The 27,765-nt window shown below is 41.6% G+C and overlaps 1 protein-coding gene across 18 annotated transcripts in view, besides 1 other annotated feature; it reads right to left on the bottom strand.

Annotated features, from left to right (window-relative positions):
- The window catches only part of SPATS2 (spermatogenesis associated serine rich 2), a 160,574-nt gene that overhangs the window by 41,555 nt on the left and 91,254 nt on the right, over nucleotides 1–27,765 (bottom strand). For all 18 annotated transcript variants that reach the window (NR_120663.2, XM_047429409.1, XM_047429412.1 and 15 more), the window contains 2 exons: nucleotides 24,834–25,101; nucleotides 1,202–1,281 (listed from right to left, as the gene is read on the bottom strand). Coding sequence is in view for 17 of the 18 variants with exons in the window: in XM_047429409.1 (XP_047285365.1) it covers nucleotides 1,202–1,281; nucleotides 24,834–24,858 (105 nt within the window). In the remaining variant the exon portion in view is untranslated. The remainder of the gene's footprint in view (nucleotides 1–1,201; nucleotides 1,282–24,833; nucleotides 25,102–27,765) is intronic.
- Nucleotides 5,972–6,559: an enhancer, noted in NCBI's record as "H3K27ac-H3K4me1 hESC enhancer chr12:49873095-49873682 (GRCh37/hg19 assembly coordinates)". NCBI's record gives its function as "activates a minimal SCP1, AML or CMV promoter by ChIP-STARR-seq in naive H9 embryonic stem cells {active_cell/tissue: H9 hESC(naive)}" and the evidence as "EXISTENCE:reporter gene assay evidence [ECO:0000049][PMID:30033119]".

The raw sequence follows: 27,765 nt of genomic DNA, 5'->3' as shown, positions 1-27,765 counted from the left end.
TGAGAATCACTTGAACCCAGGAGGTGGAGGCTAAAGGGAGCCGAGACTGCGTCACTGCACTCCAGCCTGGGTGACAGAGTAAGACTCTGTCTCAAAAAAAAAAAAAAAAAAAAGAGAGCCCATAAAGCTTTTATGTTTTTCTCAGTACAGCTCGTTGACGGTTTCATTACTAAAACCACTTGGTTTTCTTCCAAAAGAATGCTCCTTAGATCTACTTCTGGCCAGGTGTGGTGACTATCCTAGCACTCTGGGAGGCTGAGGCGGGTGGATCACTTGAGGCCAGGAGTTTGCGATCACCCTGGCCAACAGGGAGAAACCCTGTCTCCACTACAAATACAAAAATTAGCTGGGCGTGATGATGCACGCCTGTAATCCCAGCTACTCAGGAGGCTGAGGCACAAGAATCACTTGAACCCAGGAGGCAGAGATTGCAGTGAGCTGAGATCGTGCCACTGCACTCCAACCTGGGTGACAGAGTGAGACTCTGTCTCGAAAAAACCCACAAAAGACCTATTTCGGCCGGGCATGGTGGCTCACGCTTGTAATCCCAGCACTTTGGGAGGCCCAGGTGGGCAGATTACGAGGTCAGGAGATCGAGGCCACGGCGAAACCCTGTCTCTACTAAAAATACAAAAAATTAGCCGGGCATGGTGGTGGGCGCCTGTAGTCCCAGCTACTTGGAGAGGCTGAGGCAGGAGAATGGCGCGAACCCGGAAGGCAGAGCTTGCAGTGAGCCCAGATCGGCCACTGCACTCCAGCCTGGGTGACAGTGCGAGACTCCGTCTCAAAAAAAAAAAAAAAAAGACCTATTTCTTGTCTTGGCTCTGAAGGCTCCTGGACTTAAGAATGCTCTTCAAGTACTTGGGAAGATCCTATTCGATTGTTCCTTAAGGAATGTTGCCAAGTGAGATACACTCAGCCACATAAATATTAATCAACTAATTAATACTGAATATCTTCAAAAGAATTTAGAATGAATATACATGGAGATAGGCAAAGAAAATGTTTGCATTTAATAGGTTCTGTTAATAGGTTCTGCGCAATCAGAACCTATTTATGGCCGTCACTCTCTGATATATAGTGGCATTGTTTTATTCTTAAAATTTCAGTCTCATAATGAGTTTGTGGTAGCCACTAGTCGTATTAGTACCTAAATTTTCCTATGACATTTAAGTTTACTATCCATAGTGACTAGTCTTACCTTCTCTTTCATGTTCTCAAAAGCTCCTCCCTGGGCCAGTACGGTATTGGACTGCAAATCAAAAATGAATCCTGATGAATCTGAAAGAATAAGGGAAAAATATATTCAACATGATCCAAATATAATCCATCCCTAAGACAGAAGGGCCAAGACTGGCTGCTTTCGTCCCATAAAACAATTAACAGCAACTTAGTTGCTATTTGGCAAATTCTGTTACATAGATAACATATAACTGCCTTTTGAATTAAACTTATAATACAGAAATTTAATTTTAATAAAAACTGTCACAGCTTGAGGTAAACACTAAATACATCAACCATATTAGACTGTCCTGTAATCCTTGATATCGTTGTTAATTATCCCACCTTAAGGCCTTCTAAAAATGTCACAAGTAAATAGCTCCCCATGGTAAAATTTAACACTAAAGAATCTGAAAATGTGAGTGGGATGGGAGCTTCTGTAGCATTAACAACACACAGTTATTTCCTCTTCTAGCCAGAACCATACATGTTATGTTTGTAGACTATAAACCCGTGAATACATTCATGTGTGTGTCCCTAATATAATGCTTGATGACGCAAGGCATCCAAGTTGTAGGTTATGGAAAAACAGTTCAATATGATTGATTACAAAAAAAGATTCTGGTTTCTCTGTACTTACAAAGAAAAAGGCTATGTGCAAATTTAATCAGTTTCTTTACCCCTATGTGATCAATAAATTACTTCAGCTTTAACACTCAATAGCTTTGTTTTAACCCAATAAGATAAAATCTCAGGAAATGGTTAGAGTGCTTTTCAAATTCTGATGTGCATACTTACCACCTAGGGAATCTTATGCTAAAATGTAGGTTGTGATTCAGCAGTCTGGCCTGTGGCAGATTTTTACTCCCAGGTGATAACAATATTACTGATCTCTGCACTGTACTTGGAAGTAGCTTAGGAGTTAGAATTTCAACAAGGCAAGTAAAAGGAAAAATGTTAAGAAAAGGGGTACAAAAAAACCACGGTAATACTCTAGTACACTTTCCAAATTATTTTGCTGTTATTACAGATATGTTTCAATTAAAGATTCTTTCATGGCTTAATCTTGAACCTTGAATTAATTTAGATTTAACTTTTGTTAATACCGGCCATTTCTAGACTGCTACTCAAATGAAAAATCGGGTAACACTTATACAAACAGTATTTAAGCTTCAGTTTTCTAGATGACTATATAATATGGTTAACTCCCAATTATCTTTATTAATTGAAAAGAGACACAGTCTACAAAAACGAAGATCTTATAGAACCAAAGCACTATTTAGAACCTTCTCAGAATTCCTATAGATCAGCCAAATGATATAACTCGAATGTTTTAATGTATCCTCCCCCAAAGAGGTATTAATGAGCAGTGGGAATGATATGAAGGACATCAATAATCCACTTATTAGTGAATCAAACCACCAATCTCTTTTAGGGAAAAGAGGGAACACAAAACAGCATTTTGGGTTCTATTACTAGCCTCTTATCTAGCTCTGTTTTTTTTTTTTTTTTCCTTTAACAACATACTAGATGACACAAACTGCAAGAAAAACAAAGGAAAGGCTGGGTGTGGTGGTTCACGCCTATAATCCGAACATTTTGGGAGGCCAAGGCAGGTGGATCGCTTGAGCCCAGAAGTTCAAGAGCAGCCTGGGCAATATGGTGAAACCCTGCCTCTATAAAAAGGAGAAAAATTAGCTGGGCATGGTGGCACTTGCCTGTAGCCCCAGCTAATTGGGAGGGTGAGGCGGGAAGACAGCTGGAGTCTGGCAGGTTGAGGCTGCAATGAGTCGTGAATGCACCACTGCATTCCAGCTGGGTGACAGAGAGAGATCCTGTCTCAAAAAACAAACAAAAAACAAAGGGTAGTTCTGCAAACACTCAATTATTGGCCAAAATAAATTAGTATAATTAGGGTTTATCTGGAATACTGTTAGGATAATGATTAAAAATATATAAAGCAGCTATTTCAGTCAAGATCCCAAAGAGGAAGCGAATGGCATACTCAAATTGGGCAATCTTAATAGAGTTTAATAATAGGAGTATTTTCAAAGGTGTTAGCAAAGAGTAGGGAAACCACCCAAGATAGGGCTGTACCTCTTGTTACTGTTTTTGCTGGCTTTTAAGCAATGTGCACTGCTACTTGAGACTTGAGTGTGAGGAGGAAGCAGTTACAGGAGCCAAAGACAGAAAGGGCCCTTTTATTTTTGTTTCATCTGGTATAGAAAGCGCCATCAGACAGTTGCTGTGACCTTTGGCCAAAGGACACACTCAGCCCACAGCTACCCCTCAGAGAAAGATTAGAGGAATAAAAGTCCCCTACCTTACTCTCCTCCCTTCCTCGGAATCTCCTGCCAATGCTGCCCAGTGGCCAAACTTAAGTAAGCCAGAGGGCATGGGAGGCACTGAGATGGTCTACATAGGTCAGGAGGGCACAAATGACAATTTTGCATTTATATTCTATGACATGAGGTCACCAAAAAGATAAAGCAATAATCTAACATCTTAATTTGTCTACTCACTAGCTGATACTGCCTTTTTAAACTTAAACCAACACCTCAAGTAGATTCAAAACCTTACTTTAATCAACTGGCACCTAAATGTCTCTTAGTATTATACAGAAAGTAATTTTTAATTCCCATCAATACTTAGTGATTTTTAAACTTATTTTTTCATGAAAAGAAAGCTTAAGATTTACCTAATTCTATTGGTAAGAAATAAGGCAGGATTTCATCTTTTTATTAATATTTAGCTGTGATAAGAGAGCATGTATTCTATCAGAAACACATTTTTAAGGAAAAAGTGCTGCTAAATATTCTCTAATCCTGGGTGTTCAGGTAAAAAAAAAATTCTCAGGCAAGATTCATAAAGAATATGAGGATGCCTAGGCCAGATGCAGTGGCTCACACCTGTAATCCCAGCACTTTGGGAGGCTGAGGCGGGCGGATCACTTGAGGTAAGGAGTTCGAGATCAGCAAACATGGTGAAACCCCGTCTCTACTAAAAATACAAAAATTAGCCAGGCATGGTGGCAGGCACCTGTAATTCCAGCTACTGGGGAGGCTGAAGCAGGAGAATTGCTTGAACCCGGGAGGCAGAGGTTGCAGTGAGCTGAGAATGAGCCACTGCACTCCAGCCTGGGCGACAGAGCAAGACTCCATCTCCAAAAAAAAAAAAAAAAAAAAAAAAAATGAGGAAGCCTTGAGCTTGTTGAGCTTTCTTATTTATTTCACTCTATCAGGAACCATTTCAGAAGTTTTTTTGGAATTATTTCTTTCTTTTTTTTCTGGAGACGGAGTCTCGCTCTGTTGCCCAGGCGGGGAGTACAGTGCTGTGATCTTGGCTCACTACAACCTCCGCTTCCCGGGTTCAAGCCATTCTTCTGCCTCAGCATTCCCAGTAGCTGGGATTACAGGCACGCGCTACCACGCCTGGCTAATTTTTGTATTTTTAGTAGAGACAGGGTTTCACCATGTTGGTCAGGCTGGTTGGAATTATTTCAAATAGCACACATTCAGGTATATTTGAGAAAAAGTATGTTATTTACAGTACAAATGACATATTTGTAAATACTACAGGTTTTGTTATTATTGTTTTTGCTGGCTTCAAAAATTAGGTAAAAGTTGTTTTTAGGCACTGAGAATGACATAGAAATAGCTGAGCCTGATTATTCCATGTATTAAATCAACCTTGAACAGGTGTCTTGACAAGCTTTAAAACACAGTCTCATTCTGCTGTTAATTTATAATTTAACCTGAAGATCATACTGTACTAAGTGTTTTAGAATTAATTTTGTTTAAAGTTCTGATTATATTTATACCCAGGGTGCATATTTATTTATTAAAAAAAAAAAACAGAAAACAACAAGTGTGGCAAGAATGTGGAAAAACTGGAATTCTGGGGCACTGCTAGTGGAAATGTAAAATGGTACAGCCCCAATAAAAACCACATGTTGGTTCCTTAAAAGATAAAACATAGAACTACCACATGATGCAGCAATTCTGCTTCTTGGTATACACACAAAAGAAATGTCACCAAGGTCTCTAAGAGGTGTTTTGTACATCCATGTACTGCTGTAGGCGTTGAGATACACTAGGATACAACGGTGAACAAGAAACGTTTCCTGCCCTCTTAGAGTTTTACTGTCTAGTGCAAGAGACTGATTAAAAAAAAAGAATAATCATCTCAATATAACAACAATGCATTAATTTATCTAACTGTACAATACTAAATACATATGCTAGACCTCCACAATAACATTATTATGGAGTGAAAATTATTAAAAGCTCTACCACCTTGGGTGCTATCTAAAGAGGTATGGCAGAGCTAATATGAACACACAGTAAGGCTCTTAGAGGTACTGAAGTGAATTTGATACAATTATCCATGAGCAGATTATCTCCATCATGGAAAAGCCTATGCCCAAATTCTAGGCTGCTCACCATAGAGACAAGTGTAGAGGGGGTGGAACCCAGGTATGGAGTAAGTCTAAGGATTCTCATGGGGGTTACTGAATTTGTATCTGAATTCAACAACCAAAAACTTAACAGTTTTGGATTGCTTGTATCTTTCTTTTGTTAACATAATGGCAAATTATTCCCTCTGACAAGCAAGGAGAAAAATGGAATTATAATCCCTCCCAGAATATCCTCTCTTAATCTCATAGTGATGAGAAAATCAGTCACGGTACTACTCCTTGCCCAAAGTCACACAGTAAATCCTACTGTAGAATCAAAAAGGCAGTCCAGGTTTTATGCTTTACATTAGTGCTGTGTAACTCACCAAATATACTAGTTCTCAAGTTGCCATTATTTTAACAGTACCTTGATATATAGCCTTTCTTCTAAGGATCTCAGATTCTTGCTATAATCTACTGATATTCCTTACACATACATAAAGTAAGTTGAGTACTAACATTATTCACATCATACTGGCTGCAGCAGGGAGGCACCACCAGGCCAGCAGGGATACACACTCAGTGGAGCCTGAAAGTGGGTGGCAGGGGGAGCAGGAGCCCTACCCCTTCTGAGTTGGGGCAGGAACTCCCCAGGTGCCACTGCCAAAACTGTGGCTGTAGACTCAGGCCTCCCGCTCCATGAAGCAGGCAGGAGCCCCCCATCTCCCAGCTGTAGCTGTCCAAACCATAGCTGCACACTCAGGCATCCGTGTACTCTTGAGGCCACAGGAAGGCCTCCCTGCCCTCACAGGCTAGGAAGTGCCTGCTCCTGCTTGTCTGGCTTCTCCCTGTTGTCGGCACCTGCTCCAGTCTCAGCAAAGTTGGCTGAGCCAGGGTGCTATGAATGGCAGCAGGAGGCAGGCAGATTCTTGGGCAGAAGGGGGTGGGTCCCTGGTTAGGCCCCACTGTCAGGCCAGGGAGGACCTTCTGAAGGCTGGGGGCCAGGCTGCTAGTCCAGCATACTCGGGTAGTGACTTGTGGTGCCTTTTCCAGGCCCGCCCATGGCCACCCACGGACCAACTGGCACGCACTTTCTCCCCTCTAAGGTCGACAAAAGCCCCAGGCTCAGCCAGAGCTGGGCAGGGGATGGAGAGAGGACAGGGACAACCTGCTGCAGAGAGGAGCCACCTTCTCTGCTGAGAGCTGCAGAGACAATGGGACGACCTGCTGGCAAACCATCCTCTACAGGGCCTCCTCTCTGCTGAGAGCTGAATACTCTGTAGGAGACGACCTGCCTACAGAGAGGAGGTACCCACTGCGGGTCTCCGCTGAGCTGTTGTAACACTCAATAAAGCTCCTCTTTCATCTTGTTCACCTTCCACTTCTTTGTATATGTCATTCTTCCTGGATGCAGGACAAGAACTCAGGCAAAGGCATCACTGGCCACAGAGGTTTCTGGCCAGAAAAGTGACACTCCAAAGATCCGTAACAATTTCACCATGGCCAAAGAAAGACCAGAAGAGGTAAGATCCAGTTAAATATAGGTAAAGCCCAGAAGTCTAGATAACCTGACAAGTATGATTATTACTTAACATATTTTCTCTAATGGTATCAACTTTCTCCTAAAAAGTAAACTCAAGAGCAGAGCCTATGTAAGTGCCAATTCTTACAGAAATGGTATCTCATGAACAATTAAACAACCTGAAGTTCTCCTTCAGACTGAACACAGCCAATATTGGACCATAAAAGAAAGTGACCAATTGCTTGGAATTGCTTTGTCTCATGCCAACTTTGAGAATAATCCACATGTAAGTCACCAATAAAATTACAAGTGGAGTTCAGTTTCTTCATGTGCACTAATGGCAAATGTGGGGACTGGGGTTATATTGTACAAATATAAGTGCAAAGAAAAGGAAGTTATTGTCACAAGAATTAGTACTTAAGGCCTATTCAGAACTTCACAACTAAAGATTCTGGCTGGCTGCAGTGGCTCACACCTGTAATCCCAGCACTTTGGGAGGCCAAGATAGGAGTATCGCCTGAGGCCAGGAGCTTGAGACCTGCCTGGGCAACACAGCTAGTCCCCATTTCTATAAAAAATTTAAAAAGTAGCTGGGCATGCTGGCATGCATGCATCTGTAGTCCTAACTAGTTGGGAGGCTGAGGCAAGAGGATTGCTTGAGCCCAGGAGTCTGAGGTTGCAGGGAGCTATGAGCATGCCACTACACTCCAGCCTGGGCAACAGAGCAAGACCCTGTCTCAAAAATTAAAAAAAAAAAAAAAAAAAAAAAGACAAAACCACAAAAACCAAAAACTAAAGATGCCACTAACTTTAATTTCCTGGGTGGTAAATCTTCATCTACCAACTTACCACTTATTGGAGGAAATACGACTGTTTTGGTAGGAAATAAAATATTTATGAAAAAGAGAATGTGTAAATAATAGGGAATCAAGTTTGGAAGGGGACCAAATCAGAGCACATCAGGGAAATTTAGAAAAATATGTCCAAATGCCATTTTGTAGGACTTCTAGTCTGCTTTAATTAATATTACTATAGTGTGCTATTGTAGCCTTTTGAAATGCTAACACTTTTATATATATTTAATTCTTCAAAACTTATTTAAGAGTAACGCCATCTTTGTTGCCAATGGTCAAACTACACGTATCCTCTCCGGAGGTTGTAAGCATACCGACTGACGGTTCATCAATCAGTCTTCTATCAGATGACTACTGCAACTCACAGGTTCAGAAAAAATCCACACTTGTCCAATTACCAGTCAATCTGCTTCAATGCAAGAAAACAGCCTTTCATATTCCTGTTATTTCAGCTTTCATTTGCCTATAGTCTCAACAGCTGATGAAATTTTTTCCTTACTTTGCTCCTTTGAGTGCCATTTCAACTATATTCTGAAGGATGCTGTGCCTCTTCTTATGAGACAAAGCACTTAAATCAAGAAGTTTCCAAACTTCTAGAATGAGTTCTGAATTTTCCAGGTAGAGCTTGATGGAAACATCAGGGTTTTTACGGGAAGGAGGTAGACAAACAATTAAATCCTACCTTACTTTCCCTCATAGATTTCCTGAGTTTTCAGTAGGTGCAATAGAATAAGCTTTTAATTGTTAAATTCCAAGAATTTTTTTTTTTTTTTTTAAGAGGAGTTTCACTCTTGTTGCCCAGGCCGGAGTGTAATGGCGATCTTGGCTCACTGCAACCTCCGCCTCCCAGGTTCAAACGATTCTCCTGTCTCACCCTCCCAAGTAGCTGGGATTATAGGCATGTGCCACCATGGCTGGCTAATTTTGTATTTTTAGTAGAAACAAGGTTTCTCCATGTTGGTCAGGCTGGTTTCAAACTCCTGACCTCAGGCGATCCGCCCGCCTCGGCCTCCCAAAGTGCTGGGATTACAGGCGTGAGCCACCGCGCCCAGCCAAGTTCCAAGAACTATTGAGGGTCTCATTGTTTAAAAGGTTTGTTCTGGTAATAATCCCGTCAATTCCTCCAAGTCAGTCCACCTTTCACAAACCTTCTTAGTGCAACAGGAAAAGTTCCCTTGTCCCCCTCACAGGGCATGCAGTGGGGGTGTGGCTCGCTTCTTCAGTGCCCTGCTGCTCAAACCTCTAGGGGAGCATACGGACAGGCAGTGTCTAGGGGTGAATGTTTACAGCTGAAGCCCCAGTGGGTGTGTGTTACAGGATGCTCTTTCGGTTTAGCAACCTACCATCCATAGGCAGCTTGTGTTGTGTCAATTAGACCCCTGTCTTATCACAGGGACAGAGGGATTTCTGTATCCTGGGGTTTCTTGCCTTGTACCAGAAGAATCAGATTACACATGGGCTTGAAGAATGAGTGCAAGGTTTTATTGAGTGGAAGTAGCTCTCGGCAGATGGGGGAGCCAGAAGGGAGACGGTTTTTCCCTGGAGTCGGGCCACTAGGCGGACCAGGCTCTCCTCCTACTGCCCCAGCCAAACTCCATGTCATTCTGCCGGTTGGTGACCTGCTGGCGTGCGGGTGACTGTCGTTGCATTCCTCTCTACCTCCAGCCGCCTGTGTGTTCCTCCCCTGACGTGCTCCTCTCCACGTCCAGCCACCTGTGTGTCTTCCTGCTGGGGTCTCTGGGTTTTTATAGGCACAGGATGGGGGCGTGGCAGGCCAGGGTGGTCTTGGGAAATGCAACATTTGGCCAGGAAAACAAAAATGCCTATCCTCACCTAGGTCTTAGGCCCAGGATGGAGCCCTAGCCAGGGACCATGCCCTTCCACCCTTCCATATCATTTAAAGGGACCACAGCCCTTCCCTTCCCAGCACTTCCCTTCCCGACTTCCCTATCATTAGTACTATACTCTAGAGAACAGCCAGGAGGCAATGATATTGACTTTAATGCCCCCTCTTCTGTCTCCAGGACATCTCTCATTAGCCTGGAATTTGTTTTCCTACATACGAAATGAAATGCAGTTTTAAAAAAAATTCCTTCCTATTCCTCTCTGTCTTTCAGATTCTTAAGAAGTCTACCAGGCTGGGCACAGTGGCTCATGCCTGTAATCCCAGCACTTTGGGAGGCCAAGGCGGGTGGATTGCCTGAGTTCAGGAGTTAGAGACTAGTCTAGCCAACATGGTGAAACCCTCTCTACTAAAAATATTTTAAAAACTAGCCAGGTGTGGTGACGTGCACCTGTAATCCCAGCTACTCGGGAGGCTGAGGCAGGGGAACTGCTTGAACCAGGGAGGCGGAGCTTGCAGTGAGCCGAGACCACGCCACTGTACTCCAGCCTGGGCTACAGAGCAAGACTCCGTCTCAAAACAACAACAACAACAACAACAACAACAAGAATTCTACCAGTACACCAGTAAAGAAATTCAATTGTAATTTTTTTGTAGCAACAAGAATACTCAAAGAAATTCAATTCTGTAAGTCAGAAAATTAAAGTATCTTAAATACTTTGTTATAATTCATACAACTTAAGCATATATCCCTAAATATTATGGTTTAGTTTTACCTTTATCTATAAAGGAATAACCCTGTATGCATTTTATTTTTGGCGTGCATTTGGATTTTTGCTTAACATCATATTGTCAGACTCATCTTATGTTCTTGCAAGTAAAGGCAGCTTATTCATTTTCATATGGTTTGGCTCTGCGTCCCCACCCAAATGTCATCTTGTAGCTCCCATAATTCCCATGTGTTGTGGGACAGACCCGGTGGGAGATGACTGAATCATGGGTGCAGGTCTTTCCTGTGCTGCTCTTGTGACAGTGAATAGGTCTTATGAGATCTGATGGTTTTAAAAACGGGAGTTTCTCTGCCTGTTGCAAATAGAGATACACATTAAGATGTGACTTGCTCCTCCTTGCCTTCCGCCAAGATTGTGAGGCCTCCCCAGTCACGTGGAACTGTAAATCCAATAAACCTCTTTCTTTTGTAAATCGCCCAGTTTCGGATATGTCTTTATCAGCAGCAAAAAAACAGACTAATACAATCACTGAATAATATTTCATTGTATGATTATGCCATTATTTATTTATCTATTCTGCCAGTGATAGACAACCAGGTATTAAACTTCCAGTTAACTAAGATCAGTACAGAATAGCTAGTAAGAATCTGGACAGTGAGGAATGGGAAATGATTTCTTATTTTAAATCTGTGTTTCATTTCATACATAATAGCACTAATTCCAGTTTAGATCTGAGAGAAGTTGTTTGTTGTTATAAAAGACTTTGTTTTGGATATTCCTTTTAGAACTGTAAAAGAGTGAATGCTTTCCCTCTCCACCCATCTACCTTGCTTCAAAGTACAGAAATGAATAGGTCAATCCTAATTGCATGCTTCTGTCTCCAACTAAACCATGACCTTTCTCATAACACTACAGCACTGCAAAATCTGTCACTCTTCACTCATTAACCTTCATATCAATGAGAATTAAACCTGTCAGATTCTTTTTTCTTAAACCGACTTAGAAGTCAATAATCAACTTCAATTATAAATATTCCTGTCTCCAACTAATTGTTAAAATTATCACAAGGCAGCTTTAAGTGTTAAACTTGTGAAGATAAGAGACACTCTATGTAAGTAACACACTTGTTTAATTAAGCCTGTTCTGGCCAAATGAAATGTCCTTTTAAAAAAAGTTATGGTGATATATAACACAGGTACGATGCAAACACATAAAGGATTCTGGTCTGATAATTTATCACAAAGCAAATACCCAAGTACTACTACCCAGGTGAATAAGTAAAACACTGCTAGTACTTAGAAGTCTTCCTCACACCCCCTCTCAATCCTCTCCCACTCACCAAAGGTAATCGCTCTCTGGACTTCCACTTCCTTTCTTTATCAGCAGCAGGAAAACGGACTAATACAATCACTGAATTCATACCACTTAAGCATACATCCCTAAATATTATGGTTTAGTTTTATCATTATCTGTAAAAGGAATAACCCTGTATGCATTTTATTTTTGGTGTGCATTTGGATTTTTGCTCAACATCATGTTGTAAGACTCATGTTAGCTTCTTACAAGTAAAGGCAGTTTATTCGTTTTCATTGCTGAATAATATTTCACGGTATGATTATGCCATTACTTACTTATCCTGCTAGTGATGGGCAACTGGGTTGCTTCCAGTTTTGGGACAATACAAACAATGCTGTTTTCAATATTCTTGTACAAGTGTTACGGTGTACCTAGGAATGCACTTCTGTTGAATATATACAAAAATAGAACTAAATATGATATGTGTAGCTTCAACTTCAGTACATACTGTCAAACAGTTTTTCAAAGACACTGTACCAATTTAGATTCTCACTAGTAGTGTTTGAGATTTTTTTTTGTGTGTATGTGTGTGTGAGACAGTCTTGCTCTGTTGCTCAGGCTGGAGTACAGTGGGTGTGATCTCAGCTCACTGCAACCTCCACCTCTTGGGCTCAAGTGATTCTACTGTCTCAGCCTCCCGAGTAGCTGGGATTACAGGCATATGTTACCACGTCCAGCTAATTTTTTTATTTTTAGTAGAGATGGGTTTTTTGCCATGATGGCTAGACTGGTTTCAAACTCCTGAACTCAGGTGATTTGCCTGTCTCGGCCTCCCAAAGTGCTGGGATTATAGGCATGAGCCACCATGCCCAGCCAAGTTTCTATTGTTCCCCATACACTCTTTGCTTTCATTATTCTGTTTTTTGTTGTGGTTGTTGTTGTCTTTTTTTTTTTTTTTTGAGACAGGGTCTCACTCTATTGCCCAGGCTGCGTGCAGTGACATAATCATGGCTCACTGCAGCCTCGACTACCCGGGCTCAAGCAATCCTCCAGCCTAAGCCTCCTGAGTAGCTGAGATTACAGTGGGATTACAGGCATGCGCCACCACGTCTGGCTAATTTTTTACTTTTTGTAGAGACGGGGTTTAGCCATGTTGCCCAGGCTGGTCTCGAACTCCAGAGCTCAAGGGATCCGACCACCTCAGCCTCCCAAAGTGCTGGGATTAAAGCCATGAGACACCACGCCTGGCCCTGTTATTCTTTTCAATTTTAGTGATTCTGGTATGAGATCAGTATTACAGTTATTTCATTAGGGTTTCAATTTGCATTTCACTTGCTTCTAAAGAGACTGAATAATATAATAATATAATATAATATTTTATATATATATATATATAAAATATATAAAATAAGCCATTTGGATATTCTCTTTCCTGACATGCCTATTCTTGCCCAGTTTCTGGGAAGGGGAGTTGTCTTTTTCTTATTGATTTGTTGTATTTCTCTATCTGTTAAATATAATCCAAGTTTCTTCTCCCATTCTGTAACTTGCCTTTTCATTCTCTTAATTGTGCCTTTTAATGAACAGATGTTCTTAATTCTATATGTAATAATGTACTGACATCAATTCTTTTCAATTTTGGTTAGTATATTTTATGTTTTATTTTTAAAGTCTTTCCTTAAGATAGTGGGAGAAAGTTGCTTCAAAATAAACCCATTGGAGGTGGGTGGAAAGACAGACAAAAAAAAATAGCCATATGTAGCTAATTATTGAACCTGAGTTATAGGTATATAGGAGTTCCTCATACTCCTCTATTTTTATAATTTTAAACTTTTCAATAATAAATTTTTGTTTTGGGGGGCGCTTTTGAGACAAAGAGTCTTGCTCTGTCACCCACGCTGGAGTGCACTGGCGCAACCTTGGCTCACTATAGACTCAACCTCCTGGGCTTATGTGATCCTCCCACCTCAGCCTCCCAAGAAGCAGGACTAAAGACACGCCCCACCATGCCCTGGGTAATTTTTTAAATTTTTTTGTAGAGACAGGGTCTCACTGTGTTGCCCAGGCTGGTTTCAAACTCCTGGGCTCAAATGACCCTCCCAAAGTACTGGGAATCCAGGTACGAGCCACTGCACCCAGCTTAATCTCACTTAAATATGTGTTACCTAGAGTAGTCAAATTCACAAAGACAGTAGGTAGAATGGTGGTTGCCAACAACTGGGAGGGAATGGTAAGTTACTGTTTAATGGGTATAGAGTTTCAGTTTTACAATATGAAAACAGTTCTGGACATGAATGACAGTAATGGTTGTACAACAATGGGAGTGTACTAATGCCACTGAGCTATACACTTAAAAATGGTTAAAACACAAATTTTGGCCAGGCACAGTGGCTTGCACCTGTAATCCAAGCACTTTGGGAGGCCAAGCCAGGAAGATCACTTGAAACCTAAAACTTGATACCTGCTTAGGCAACACAGTGAGATCCTGTCTCTATAAAAATTTTTTAAAAAATTAGCAAGGTGCTTTCCTGTGGTCTCAGCTACTCAAGAGGCTAAGGCAGGATGATCGCTTGAGCTCAAATGTTTGAGGCTGCAGTGAGCTGACTGTGCCACTGCATTTCAGCCTGGTTGATGGAGCAAGGCTCTGTCTCAAAAGATAATAATAAAAAATAAATAAAAAGGGAACAATGGGTCTAACAGGTGAGAACTACTGAGTTACAGGAATTATAAATGGTCTCAAGTTGAAAAAGGCTAAACAGACCACCATAACAGCAGCTGGCATTAATGAGTGCTTCATTCTGCTAGACACTGTGAAGGAGCTCTACATGAATCATCTCAGTTAATCCTCTTGATATCCCTACATACAAGTCTTCTGCAATCTTGCCATTTTACAGGAAAGGAAGAGGAGACCTAGAGCAGTAAAGAGATTTCCTAGCTTGCTAGGACAGCCTAACTAGCTAGTGACAGAGATGGAATTTAAAAATTGAGTTTGTTTGGTTCTAACAGTCAGTGTTTTATACTATTACTCATGTTCACATTGCCTTTCTTATTTACCTTCAAAGTTTTTAAAAAAGAGGATGTCACACAATTGTTCTTTATTCCCTTGAAGCTACAAAGGAAGTCTGAGCTTAAATTAAGGCAGAAACAAATATGCTGAATATAAGTTTAAAGTTTTGATGGGTAAGCAACAAAACACTGGAACAAGGCTAACAGGCTAATGATATTTCACAAGTCTCTTCTGATTGCTCCTCAAGAAGATCATACACAACTAACTGTACTAGGTGGTTGGGACACACTCAAAAAAAGGTAACTGAAGGAGATGATCTTATGGCATGATTATCACTAGGCAGAATTTAAGAAGTCTTGCTAACAGATAAGAACCAGAAGGTACATGAGAAGCAAATGCAGTTGATTTACCAGCTGGTGAACTGCTCCTAAGTTATATTTTTCTTTCTCTGATCTCTATTATTGTTTTAATTTGTACCAAAACCACAAATATAATTTACAATTTAGTTTGGAATTTAACTTTTAGAGAAAATAATAGACTTAAAATGGTATATAAATAATGTAAATACTTCAGGTGGAAGTGAACAAAAGGCTCAAAACATTTCTAGCACTATCAATAAAACCAGTCTATTTCACATAGAAAAAAATTACTCCTAAAAATGAGAAATGGGGTCAGGAGTGGTGGCTCATGCCTGTAATTCCAGCACTTTGGGAGGCCAAGGCAGGAGGATCTCCTGAGGTCAGGAGTTCAAGACCAGCCTGGCCAACATGATGAAAACCCGTCTCTACTAAAAATACAAAAATTAGCTGGGCGTGGTGGTGGACGTCTGTAATCCCAGCTACTAGGGAGGCTGAGACAGGAGAATCACTTGAACCTGGGAGGTGGAGGTTGCAGTGAGCCAAGACTGTGCCATTACACCACTCCAGCCTGGGCAACAAAAGCAAAACTCCATCTCAAAAAAAAAAGGAGAAACAACTTGGTAGCCAGAATAAAATCTTGTCTTTGAGTTGTCAAAAAAGTACAGTTCAACCTTTTTGAATGAGATGAATGAAAAATCAAACATTTTTCAGGGAGAGAGTGTTGAGTTGCATGTTTTTTCCTTCTTTTTTTTTTGAGACAGAATCTCACTCTGTTGCCCAAGCTGGGGTGCAGTGGCGTGACCTTGGCTTACTATAACCTCTGCCTCCTGGGTTCAAGCAATTCTCCTGCCTCAGTCTCCCAAGCAGCTGGGATTACAGGCGTGCAGCACCACGCTCAGCTAATTTGTATTTTAACAGAGATGGGGTTTCACCATGTTGGCCAGGCTGGTCTTGAACTCCTGACCTCAAGTGATCTGCCCGCCTCAGCCTCCTAAAGTGCTGGAATTACAGATGTGAGCCACTGTGCCTGGCCCATATTTCTCAGCTGTGAAAAGTTTTATTTTACTTTGTTTTTTCTTTTTTTTTTTTTTTTTTTTTTAGAGACCCAGCCCATAGTGCAGTGACAGGATCACAGCTCACCGTGGCCTCAAACTCCCAGGCTTGAGTGATTCCCCTGCCTCAACCTCCCAAATATCTGGGACTACAGGCACACACCACCATGCCTGGCTTTTTTTTTTTTTTTTTTTTTTTTGAGACAGAGTCTCACTCTGTTGCCCAGGATGGAATGCAGTGGCGCAATTTCGGCTCACTGCAACCTCCGCCTCCTGGGTTCAAGTGATTCTCCTGCCTCAGCCTCTCAAGGAGCTGGGATTATAGGCGCCTGCCACCACGCCCAGCTAATTTTTGGTAGAGACTGGGTTTCACCATGTTGGCCAGGCTGGTCTCGAAGTCCTGACCTCAAGTGATCTGCCTGCCTCGGCCTTCCAAAGTGCTGGGATGGCAGGCGTGAACCACTGTGCCTGGCCATTAATTTATTTTATTTTTTTGTAGAGATGGGGTCTCACTGTGTTACTCAGGCTAGTTTCAAACTCCTGATCTCAAGTGATACATACTCCTGCCTCAGCCTCCCAGAGGTGCTGAGATTACAGGTGTAAGCCACTGTACCCAGCCTTATTTTACTTTGTAAAGATTTTTATTAAGTACTCCTTTATGTAAATCAAATGGTTACAGAACTTATAAAAGAAGAAAGAAGTGGACTTATGGTTACTTTCAAACACATCTATTAAAAATAATTATACCACATTACCACAGTTCTCAAAAGTTCTATAGCTCAGCAAAATTACGTAGCAAGAAAAAAAATTCTAGGCCCAGTGTGGCGGTTCACACCTGTAATCCCAGCACGTTGGGAGGTCGAGGCAGGTGGATCATGTGAGCCAAGGAGTTCGAGGCCAGCCTGGGTAACATGGTGAAACCACATCTCTACAAAAAATACAAAAATTAGCCAGGCATGATGACACGTATCTGTAGTCCCAGCTACTTGAGGGGGTGAGATGGGAGAATGGCCTGAGCCCCAGAGGCAGAGGTTGCAGTGTGCACAGATCACACCACTGCACTCCAGCCTTGGTGACGGAGGGAGACTCTGTCTCAAAAAAACAAAAACAAAAACAAAAACAAAAAAAAAGGCCGGGCACAGTGGTTCACGCCTGTAATCCCAGCACTTTGGGAGGTCGAGGCAGGCAGATAGCCTGAGGTCAGGAGTTTGAGACCAGCCTGGCCAACATGGTGAAACCCCGTCTCTACTAAAAATACAAAAATTAGCTGGGCATGGTGGTGGGCACCTGTAATCCCAGCTACTCAGGAGGCTGAGGCAGGAGAACTGCTTGAACCTGGGAGGTGGAGGTTGCAGTGAGCCAAGATCGTGCCACTGCACTCCAGCCTGGCAACAAAGCAAGACTCCATTTCAAAAAAAAAAAGAAAAAAAAAAACAAGAAAGAAAAGAAAAGAGTGAAAGAAAAAGAAGAAAGAAAGAGAAAAAGAAGAGAAGGAAAAGGAGAAGAGAAGAGAGAAAAGAAAAGAGAAAAAGAAAAGAAAGGAAAAGAAGAAAAGAAGGTCAGGTGTGGTGGCTCATGCCTGTAATCCCAGAACTTTGGGAGGCCGAGGCGGGTGGATCACGAGGTCAGGAGATCGAGACCATCCTGGCTAATACCGTGAAACCCCGTCTCTACTAAAAATACAAAAAATTAGCCGGGCGTGGTGGCAGGTGCCTGTAGTCCCAGCTACTCAGGAGGCTCAGGCAGGAGACCCAGCTACTCAGGAGGCTGAGGCAGGAGAATGGCATAGACCCAGGAGGCAGAGCTAGCAGTGAGCCAAGATCGCGCCACTGCACTGCACTCTAGCCTGGGCGACAGAGCGAGACTCCGTCTCAAAAAAAAAGAAAAAAAGAGTCTAGTGTACCATCCCCAGAGAGAGAGATGCAAAAAGATGTTTTAAATGTTCAAGATGATTCTGATATATAGTCAGATACAGGAGAAAAATATCATCTGACAAAATCAGGACTCCCAAAATATAAAACAAGTTATAATGGCTTGATCTCATCCTTCCCTAATCTCTAGAGTCTGTCTTCAGAGGAAATTAGGAACAATGTAAAGTGCATTAGCAATCTGTGGGAATCACAAACAAGCCCACTTCCAACCTTGAATTACTCCCCAAGTCTGCTTTCTTCTAACCAGTGCTAGACTCAGAGATCAGTCAGGAAAATATAAAGAGTTATACATATCTGGGACAGGCGCAGTGGCTCACGCCTATAATCCCAGCACTTTGGAAGGCCAAGGTGGGCGGATCACGAGGTCAGGATATCGAGACCATCCTGGCTAACACGGTGAAACCCCGTCTCTACTAAAAATACAAAAAAAAAAAAAAAAAAAATTAGCCAGGCATGGTGGTGTGGGCCTGTAGTCCCAGCTATCGGGAGGTTGAGGCAGGGGAAATCTCCTGAACCTGGGAGGCAGAGGCTGCAGTCAGCCGAGATTGTGCTGCTGCACTCCAGCCTGGATGACAGTGAGACTCCATCAAAAAAAAAAAAAAAAAAAAAAAAAACAAAGAACAAATTATTTAACAATAAACTTAAGAAAAATGCAAGAGTTGTACATTTAAATCTGTAAACCATTGCTGAGAGAAATTAAGATCTAAATAAATGCAGAGATATAGTAGTAAGTTCATGGACTGAAAGCTTCCATGTTGTTAAGATGATAATTCTACATGAACTGGCCTACTGATACAGTGCACTCTCTATCAGATTCCAAGCAGATATTCTTGTAAGAACTGACAATCTGATTCTAAATTTTGTATGTAAATGTAAAGAAACCAAAATAGCCCAAAAAATTCTGTGGGGAAAATCATTGGAGGATGTATCTTCCTTACTTATTAAACTATATTTACTATAAAGCCATACTAATCAATACAGTGTACTAGCATAAAGACAGACATATACATCAATGTAACAGAACAGAGTCCAGAAATAAATCTTCACATGGTCTACTGATTTTCAACAAAGGTGTCAGGGCAATTCAATGGAGGAAAGGATAGCCTCGTCAACAAAACGTGCTGTAACAACTGGATATCCATATGCAAAAAAGTAAACTTAGACTCTTATACCTCATATAAAAACTAACTCAGCCAGGCGGGGTGGCTCACACCTGTAATCCCAGCACTTTGGGAGGCTGAGGCATGAGGCAGGTGGATCACGAGGTCAGGAGTTTAAGATCAGCCTGGCCAAGATGGTGAAACCCTGTCTCTACTAAAAATACAAAAATTAGCCGGGCGTGGTGGTGGGCGCCTGTAATCCCAGCTACTCAGGAGGCTGAAGCAGAGAACTGCTTGAACCTGGGAGGCGGAGGTTGTAGTGAGCTGAGATTGCTCCACTGTACTCCAGCCTGGGTGACAGAGAGAGACTCCGTTTCAAAAAAACCCAAAAACCCAAAAAAACTAACTCAAACAGGATCACAGACTTTAAAATATATGAGATAAAACTATAAAACTTCTGGGAAAAAGTCTTTCTGACTTTGAGTTAGGCAGAGAATTCTCAGACACGATACCAAAACCCAATCCGTGATAGAAAAAAAAAAAAAAAGATAAATTGGGCTTCATCAAAATTTAAAACTTCTACTTTTTAAAAGACACCATTAAGAATTTTTTTTTGAGATGGAGTCTCACACTGTCACCCAGGCTGGAGTGCAATGGCGTGATCCTGGCTCACTGCAACCTCCGCCTCCCGGGTTCAAGTGATTCTCCTGCCTCAGCCTCCCAAGTAGCTGGGATTACACGCACCCGCCACCACACCCAGCTAATTTTTGTATTTTTAGTAGAGACAGGGTTTCGCCAGGTTGGCCAGGCTGGTCTTGAACTCCTGACCTCAGGTGATCCACCTGCCTTGGCCTCCCAAAGTGCTGGGATTATAGCTGTGAGCCACCGCGCCCGGCCCATTAAGAAAAGTAGAAGACAAGCCATGGAATGGGAGAATATACTTACAAATCATGTACCTGATAAAGAACTTGTATTCAGAATATACAAAGAACTCTTAGAATTCGATAATAAGACTCCAAAACTTTTAAATGGATCAAGAATTTGAACAGACATTTCACCAAAAAAAATATAAATGGCTAATAATCACATGAAAAGATGGTCAACATCATTAGTCATTAGGGAAGTACAAATCAAAACCACAATGAGATACCATTACACATCTATTAAGATAGCTATAATAATAAAAAAAAAAGACTGACCATACCGAGTGTTGGTGAGGATATGGAAAATATGAAATCCTGATACACTGCTGGTGGGATTGTAAAACTGTGTATCGCCACCTTGGAAAACAGTCTGGAAGTTTCTTACAAAGTTAAAGAAGTCCACTCCTAAGTACCTCCACAAGAGAAATGCAAACACATGTCCACATAAAGACTTGTAAGCAAATGTACATAATTGACAATCATTCATAACAGCACAAACTACAATCCAAAATGAATAGCAACTGTTAAATGGATAAATGTGTTATAACAAGACTACTTAGTAGTAAAAAGGAGCAAACTACTGACACATTCAACAATATGGAGGAACCTTAAAAACATTACACTAAGTGAAAAGAAGCCAGACATAATATCTATATTGTACTAATATGTGTATATGAAATTTCTAGAAAATGCAAAAATAAAGTGACAGAAGATCAATGTTTGCCTGTGGCTGGGGTAGGGAGCAGGAATTGATCACAAACAAGAGAATATTGGGGGATAAGGAAAAGAGGGTTTTGTTTCTGTTTTTTTAAGAGACATGGTCCCGCTCTGTCACCCAGGCTAGAGTGTAGTGATCATAGCTCACTGTAGCCTCAAATTCCTGGGCTCAAGTAATCCTCCCACCTCAGCCTCCCAAATAGCTGGGACTGTAACAGGCATGTGTCAGTATAATTGGCTAATTTTTTTATTTTTTGTAGAAACAGAGTCCTTTTTTTTTTTTTTTTTTTTAAGATGGAGTTTTGCTCTTGTTGCCCAGGCTGGAGTGCAATGGCACGATCTCGGCTCATCGCAACCTCCACCTCCCGGGTTCAAGCGATTCTCCTGCCTCAGCCTCCTGAGTAGCTGGGATTACAGGCATGCACCACCACACCCAGCTAATTTTTTTTTTTTTTTTTTTAAGCAGAGACAGGGTTTCTCCATGTTGGTTAGGCTAGTCTCGAACTCCCAACCTCAGATGATCTGCCCACCTTGTCCTCCCAAAGTGCTGGGATTACAGGCGTGAGCCACCACACCTGGCTAAGACAGAGTCTTACTATGTTGTCCAGGCTGATTTTGAACTCCTGGCTTCAAGCCATTCTCCTGCCTCAGCCTCCCTAAGTGCTGAGATTATAGGCTTTAGCTACCACACCCAGTCGGAAAGTGTTTTAAAACAAGATTTTGGTGATGGTGCACAACTCCATAAATTTACTAAAAATAATCAAATTATACACTTGGGCAAATTTTAAGGTATTTAAATTATACCTCAATAAAACTGTGTTTAAAAGGGCTTAGATGTTGCCACACTGTCAAATCACTATCAAAGAGTTCCTAAACACTCTTCATTTCTATATACTTCTCCAGTTCACAGACAGGAATAGGGTCTACAGCCCACACTCTAAGAAGCACAGCTCTGACTTCTGCTAGATATTGGCTAATAGGCTTGGAGTAATCAATAGTTTTAACTGAAACTGACTTAATTTAATTTAAGCTGTTCAAGTTTAACTCCACTAAGTATTTCATTAAATAAGGAATTTACAAGTATTACTGACAAAAGGAAAATATGAAAACATGGTCTATTGCTGAATAAAAACATAACTCATTACAAAATGAGAGCCTGTAAATGAAATACCACTAAGAACAATGACTACCATAGACCCTTCTTTTTAATGTAGTATAACCAAGTTGATAAAGTCAGTGTATTTACAGATTAGACTACTAAAACCCAAAGCAATGACACTTTAAACGTATAAATGAATAAATGAAATGTTGTAATATTTTATATGTCATGGGACCAAATATCAGACATGCAAATGAATTACATGCATAGATTTGTTTCAGAGAAAGTCCCAACAACACATAAGCTTTACTTTGTTTCCAACTAAGTGTAAATCTAGGCTAAGTTCAACCAAAACTGGTAAGCACTTAGTGTCTATGTTGTAGTCTATTTTTTTTTTTTTTTTTTTTGAGACAGAGTCTCTCTCTGTTGCCCAGGCTGGAGTGCAGTGGCATGATCTCTGCTCACTGCAAGCTCCGCCTCCTGGGTTCACACCATTCTCCTGCCTCAGCCTCCTGAGTAGCTGGGACTACAGGCACCCGCCACCACGCCCGGCTAATTTTTTTTTTTTTTGTATTTTTAGTAGAGACGGGGTTTCACTGTGTTAGCCAGCATGGTCTCAATCTCCTGACCTTGTGACCCACCCACCTCGGCCTCCCAAAGTGCTGGGATTATAGGCGTGAGCCACCAGACCCGGCCTATGTTGTAGTCTAAAATTTAAATTCTTTTATAGTTAATATTTAAATTCATTTTATAGTAATTAGAAAAAAGCAACTGATGGGGACAGGAGGCAGAGAAATTCTAGGCAGAAAAGGGTGGGTCACCGGTTAAAACGCCACCCTCAAGCCAAAATGCCTGAAACCTTGGCCCAATGTGAGAACTTATATCTCTGTTTTCCTGTTTGTTGCCTTTTCCTAAACCACCCATGGCCCCACCCTGCCCCATTCTGTGCCTATAAAGACCCCAGACTCAGCTGGCAGAGAGGAGAACTAGCTGGACGTCAGGATGTCGGAGAGAAGTGGGTTGACTTTAGAGGGACAGCTTGATGGTGTAACTTTGGAGAAAAAACTAGCTGGAGACAGCTGGACTTCAGGGAAAGATTATCTACCCGCACCCCACCAACCCCTTTTCAGCTCCCCTTCCTGCTAAAAGCCACTTTCATCAGCAATAAAATCTCCCGCATTTACCATCCTTCAATTCATTCGTGTGACCTCATTTTTCCTGGACACCAGACAAGAGCTCAGGAGCCACGAGTGCAGATACAAAAGGCTGTCACACTGGCCCTTTGCCCTTGCTGGCAGAGGGCAGCCACCCCACACACGGGGGGAAAGGGCCCACTGAGCTGTTAACACTTAAGCCGTCCACAAATGGCAGAGCCAGAAGAGCACTGTAACATGCCCTCTGGAGCTTCGGGGGTCACAGGCACCCCACAGCCTGGATGCTGCCACGGGGCCCACACAGAGTTCACCCCTGCTGGTACTGAAGCAGCCAGCCGGTTCCAGCACTCATGCCCTCCAGTTCCTTCCTTGTTCACTCGCGCTCTCCTTCCTGTGAGGAGTTGAGAGAGGCAGGCTGAGTAAAGGAGAGACTCCTGCAAAGGGGCCAGGGAAATATCCTGCTTCACAATGATACTTTTTTTCTACAGCTCTGGCAAAACACAGACATGAAATAAAGACTCTCTAGTTTTAAAAAGGTCAAAGTAATTTGCTGAAGTTAACTTTTTTTTTGGAAAAATTAAATGCTCAACTTTTCCAGAACCCTATTTTTACTATAGTATTTCTCATTTGCAGGGTGAAAACAGATGCTCAATGTTTCAAGCATAACTGGGAAAAAACAAACTGAATTATAACAACTAAGAAAAAACAAACTTGGGTTATTAAAAAAAACTTTTCCGTTGGTAAATTTCATTCCACAGAACAGTTCAGCTTTAGTAATCTAAGCATTCCTTAGAGCTCAGATTCTTCCTATAGATTTACTACACAATGAAGCTACAACTACAAATCTGGTTTATTTACTTTCTTATAAGGTTTTTGAATTATCAAGTCAAAATTAGGTTTAAAAGAATTTTCTTCATATTTAACATGTGAGACCTGGATCTATGAATAGCTTTGCTTTGAATTAAAGAACATTAACTTTGAACTGGAAATTAAATTGAATGAGGGGAAAACGCCAAGATATCTATGATCATTCTTTTAATCAATATATTCCAATTATGTACAATAGTTCTAGTGCTGTTGTTCACTTTGTCCCTTGAAATTTTTGCAGCTATTCTAGAAAAGTAGAAAAAGGTTTTACAAAGTCTTTGTTGTCCTTCCCTCCATTATAACTACCCTTCTATTTCCTGACTCTTTGCACCTTGTATTTCACTTTAGATAAGAAGCTAGAAGAACATTCCCGGAAGGAAAGCTAAAGAAGGAAACAAAACCCAGAAACATTTACTCTTGCTCCACTGCCTTTCTCTAGAAAAATGCCAACTCAAACAACATAGAATATCCTGCAGCAAGCTAGCCCTCTTAACACATCTCCCTAACATATGTTCAGTATTCAAAAATGCATCTTCAAGATTGTTAAGCATATTACAATTTGCTAAGTTTGTGTGAGTAGAAAAGCTATTGTTATATGAATTAATTCCCAGACTAGTAATACACAAAGCGATAATCTAATATCCATAAATACTTGTAAAACCATTCAAAACACATTAGAAGGACAGTTTTTAAATATACAGCTATAAATGGGGATCATTATAACTATGCTTTTAACAATTTATGCCCACATGTAATCTTACCCTTCTGGTTCTGTTTCCTGGACATTGTCGTTTCTTCGATCTCAAAAAATATACAAGAAAAGTATCCTTTTGCCTTGTCTGGGTTTTGAGTGTAGGTATCTCTGATTTAAAAGTGGGCAACGGAAGTGTGCAGTTGGAAGCAAAAAATACGAAATCCTGCTGTTCGAAATTCTGCTCACTAGCTGTTAATCTCCTTTCCTTTTCTTGTATCAACTTCTTGTCAGGAAGTATCATTGCAGACATTCATGTCTCCTTTTCCAGGGAGATTCTGGAGGGAAAAACACAAACACACATATACTATTACAGTAATGACTATCTGTACAAAATTTCTGAGATATCCACAAGGTTTCTTTTGTATTTCTGTATACAAAACTAGTTTTTAAGTACTATAGAAACAATGTAGCTGCTGAAAAGCAGAATTTTTCTTAAGAAAAGTTAATCTTAGAATCAGATTATCCTCTTAGTTTAGAAAGTATGTTCTCTTAGTCTTATTTTTTGTATCCATCTGAAATATCCCCATCTCTGCTTTGCAAACTAAAATGTTACACCTCTTACCACTCCCTAAGATCTTTCTTTTTTTTTGAGATGAAGTCTTGCTCTGTCACCAGGCTAGAGTGCAGTGGCATGATCTTGGCTCCTCATTGCAACCTCTGCCTCCCGGGTTCAAGTGATTCTCCTGCCTCAGCCTCCCGAGTAGCTGGGACTACAGGCGTGCACCACCACGCCCAGCTAATTTTTGTATTTTTAGTAGAGATGGGGTTTCACCATGTTGACCAGGATAGTCTCTATCTCTTTACCTCGTGATCCGCCTGCTTTGGCCTCCCAAAGTGCTGGGATTACAGGCATGAGCCATTTGATCTTCCCATCCAAATCAAGGGTCTATTCTCTTCCTCTAGAATTTCTTTTTTTGTTTGTTTGTTTGTTTTTTTGAGGCGGAGTTTCGCTCTTGTTGCCCAGGCTGAAGTGCAATGGTGTAATCTCAGCTCACTGCAAACTCCGCCTCCCAGGTTCAAGCGATTCTCCTGCCTCGGCCTCCCAAGTAGCTGGGATTACAGGCGCCTGCCACCACACCTGGCTAATTTTTTTTTTTTTTTTTTCAGTAGAGACAGGGTTTCACCATATTGGCCAGGCTAGTCTCTTGACCAGGCTGGTCTCGAACTCCTGACCTCGTGATCCGCCTGCCTCGGCCTCCCAAAGTGCTGGGATTACAGGTGTGAGCCTAGAATTTCTTATATCTAACCTCTCCTCAGGTTTCCCAGCTCAAATATAGCTATAAAAAATATGGGGGGGGGGGGGGACGTGAAATGAGAAACACACTCACTGTACAAACCCAAAGAATGGACTTAGAGGCACGAAGAACAGCAAACGTGAGACTTTTTAATAACGGTCTAGCCAGGTGCAGTGGCTCACGCCTGTAATCCCAGCACTTTGGAAGGCCAAGGCAGGCAGATCACCTGAGGTTGGGAGTTCAAGACCAGCCGGACCAACATGGAGAAACCCCGTCTCTACCAAAAATACAAAATTAGCTGGGCATAGTGGTGCATGCCTGTAATCTCAGCTACTCAGGAGGCTGAGGCAGGAGAATCACTTGAATCCAGGAGGCGGAGGTTGCCGTGAGCCAAGATCGCACCATTGCACTCCAGCCTGGGCAACAAGAGTGAAACCCCATCTCAAAAAATAAATAAATAATAAAATAAATAATAATAATAATAATGGTCTTGCAAGATCAGGTGTCTGGTGGGCAGGCACACCGGGACAGTCACAACAGGTAATTTATCTTCTAGCACACAAGTCCCTCCACCAGTTCCTCACTGGTTGAGTACTATGGGGTTACAATCTTCCTGGACATTGCCGAAGTTTTATTATCCCCCTTATAAGGTTATACCCCATCTCCTTCTCTGCTTAAATTTTGATTTCCCAATTACGAAACTTTCTTCCCTTTTATGGGCTGACCCCTCCTCTACATTCTATTCGCTTATTGTGACCTAGGTGCATGAGCTGTGCAGTTTGCTACATTTGCAGGCCAGCTGCCAGTACTTAGATTTATCATGCCTTGAAAACAAACCATTTAAAATGTTTTATCACATGAAAGGAGGGAAGTGCAAAGGAATTTTAACATGGAAAACTGAAACATCAAAATGAGATTAGTCCATATTGCAGGAAGCTCCTTTAAATTACAAAGATACAAATGCTGTTTTTCTATATTACTAAACATTTTAAAGATACATGCCCAAGATTTCTGGGTAAAGAAAGCATAAGTTCCTGCCAGCAGAGATGTGCTAACAATTAAAAAAAAAAAAAAAAACGAGATGGAATTTGCAACCTCCACCTCCCAGGTTCAACATTTCTTCCGCCTCAGGCTCCCGTGTAGCTGGAATTGTAGGCATGCACCACCATGCCCAGCTAATTTTTGTATTTTCAGTAGAGAGAGGGGTTCACCATGTTGGCCAGGCTGGTCTTGAACTCCTGACCTCAAGTAATCTGCCCGCCTTGGCCTCCCAAAGTGCTGAGATTACAGGCGTGAGCCACTGCTCCTGGCCAATATTTTTTTTTTCTTTTCCTTTTTCTGGAGACAGAGTCATGCTCTTGTTGCCTAGACTGGAGTGCAATGGCGCGATCTTGGCTCGCTGCAACCTTTGCCTCCTGGGTTCAAACGATTAACCTGTCTCAGCCTCCCAACGAGCTGGGACTACAGGCACCTGCCACCACACCCGACTAATTTTTGTATTTTTAGTAGAGACAGGGTTTCACCATGTTGGCCAGGCTGGTCCTGAACTCCTGACCTCCAGTGATCAGTCTGCCTCCGCCTCCTGAAGTGTGGGATTACAGGCATGAGCCACCATGCCTGGCTGAAAAATAATTTTTTTAAGCATTATAAGGATTATGGAACTCATACCTGGGCACCTGACTGGAAAAACATTTACAAAATGCA

The sequence above is a fragment of the Homo sapiens genome, chromosome 12 (genome assembly GCF_000001405.40).
Source record: "Homo sapiens chromosome 12, GRCh38.p14 Primary Assembly".
Classification (NCBI taxonomy): domain Eukaryota; kingdom Metazoa; phylum Chordata; class Mammalia; order Primates; family Hominidae; genus Homo; species Homo sapiens.
Note: the sequence above shows the minus strand (reverse complement) of the source record. Positions and strands in the feature narration are given on the sequence as shown.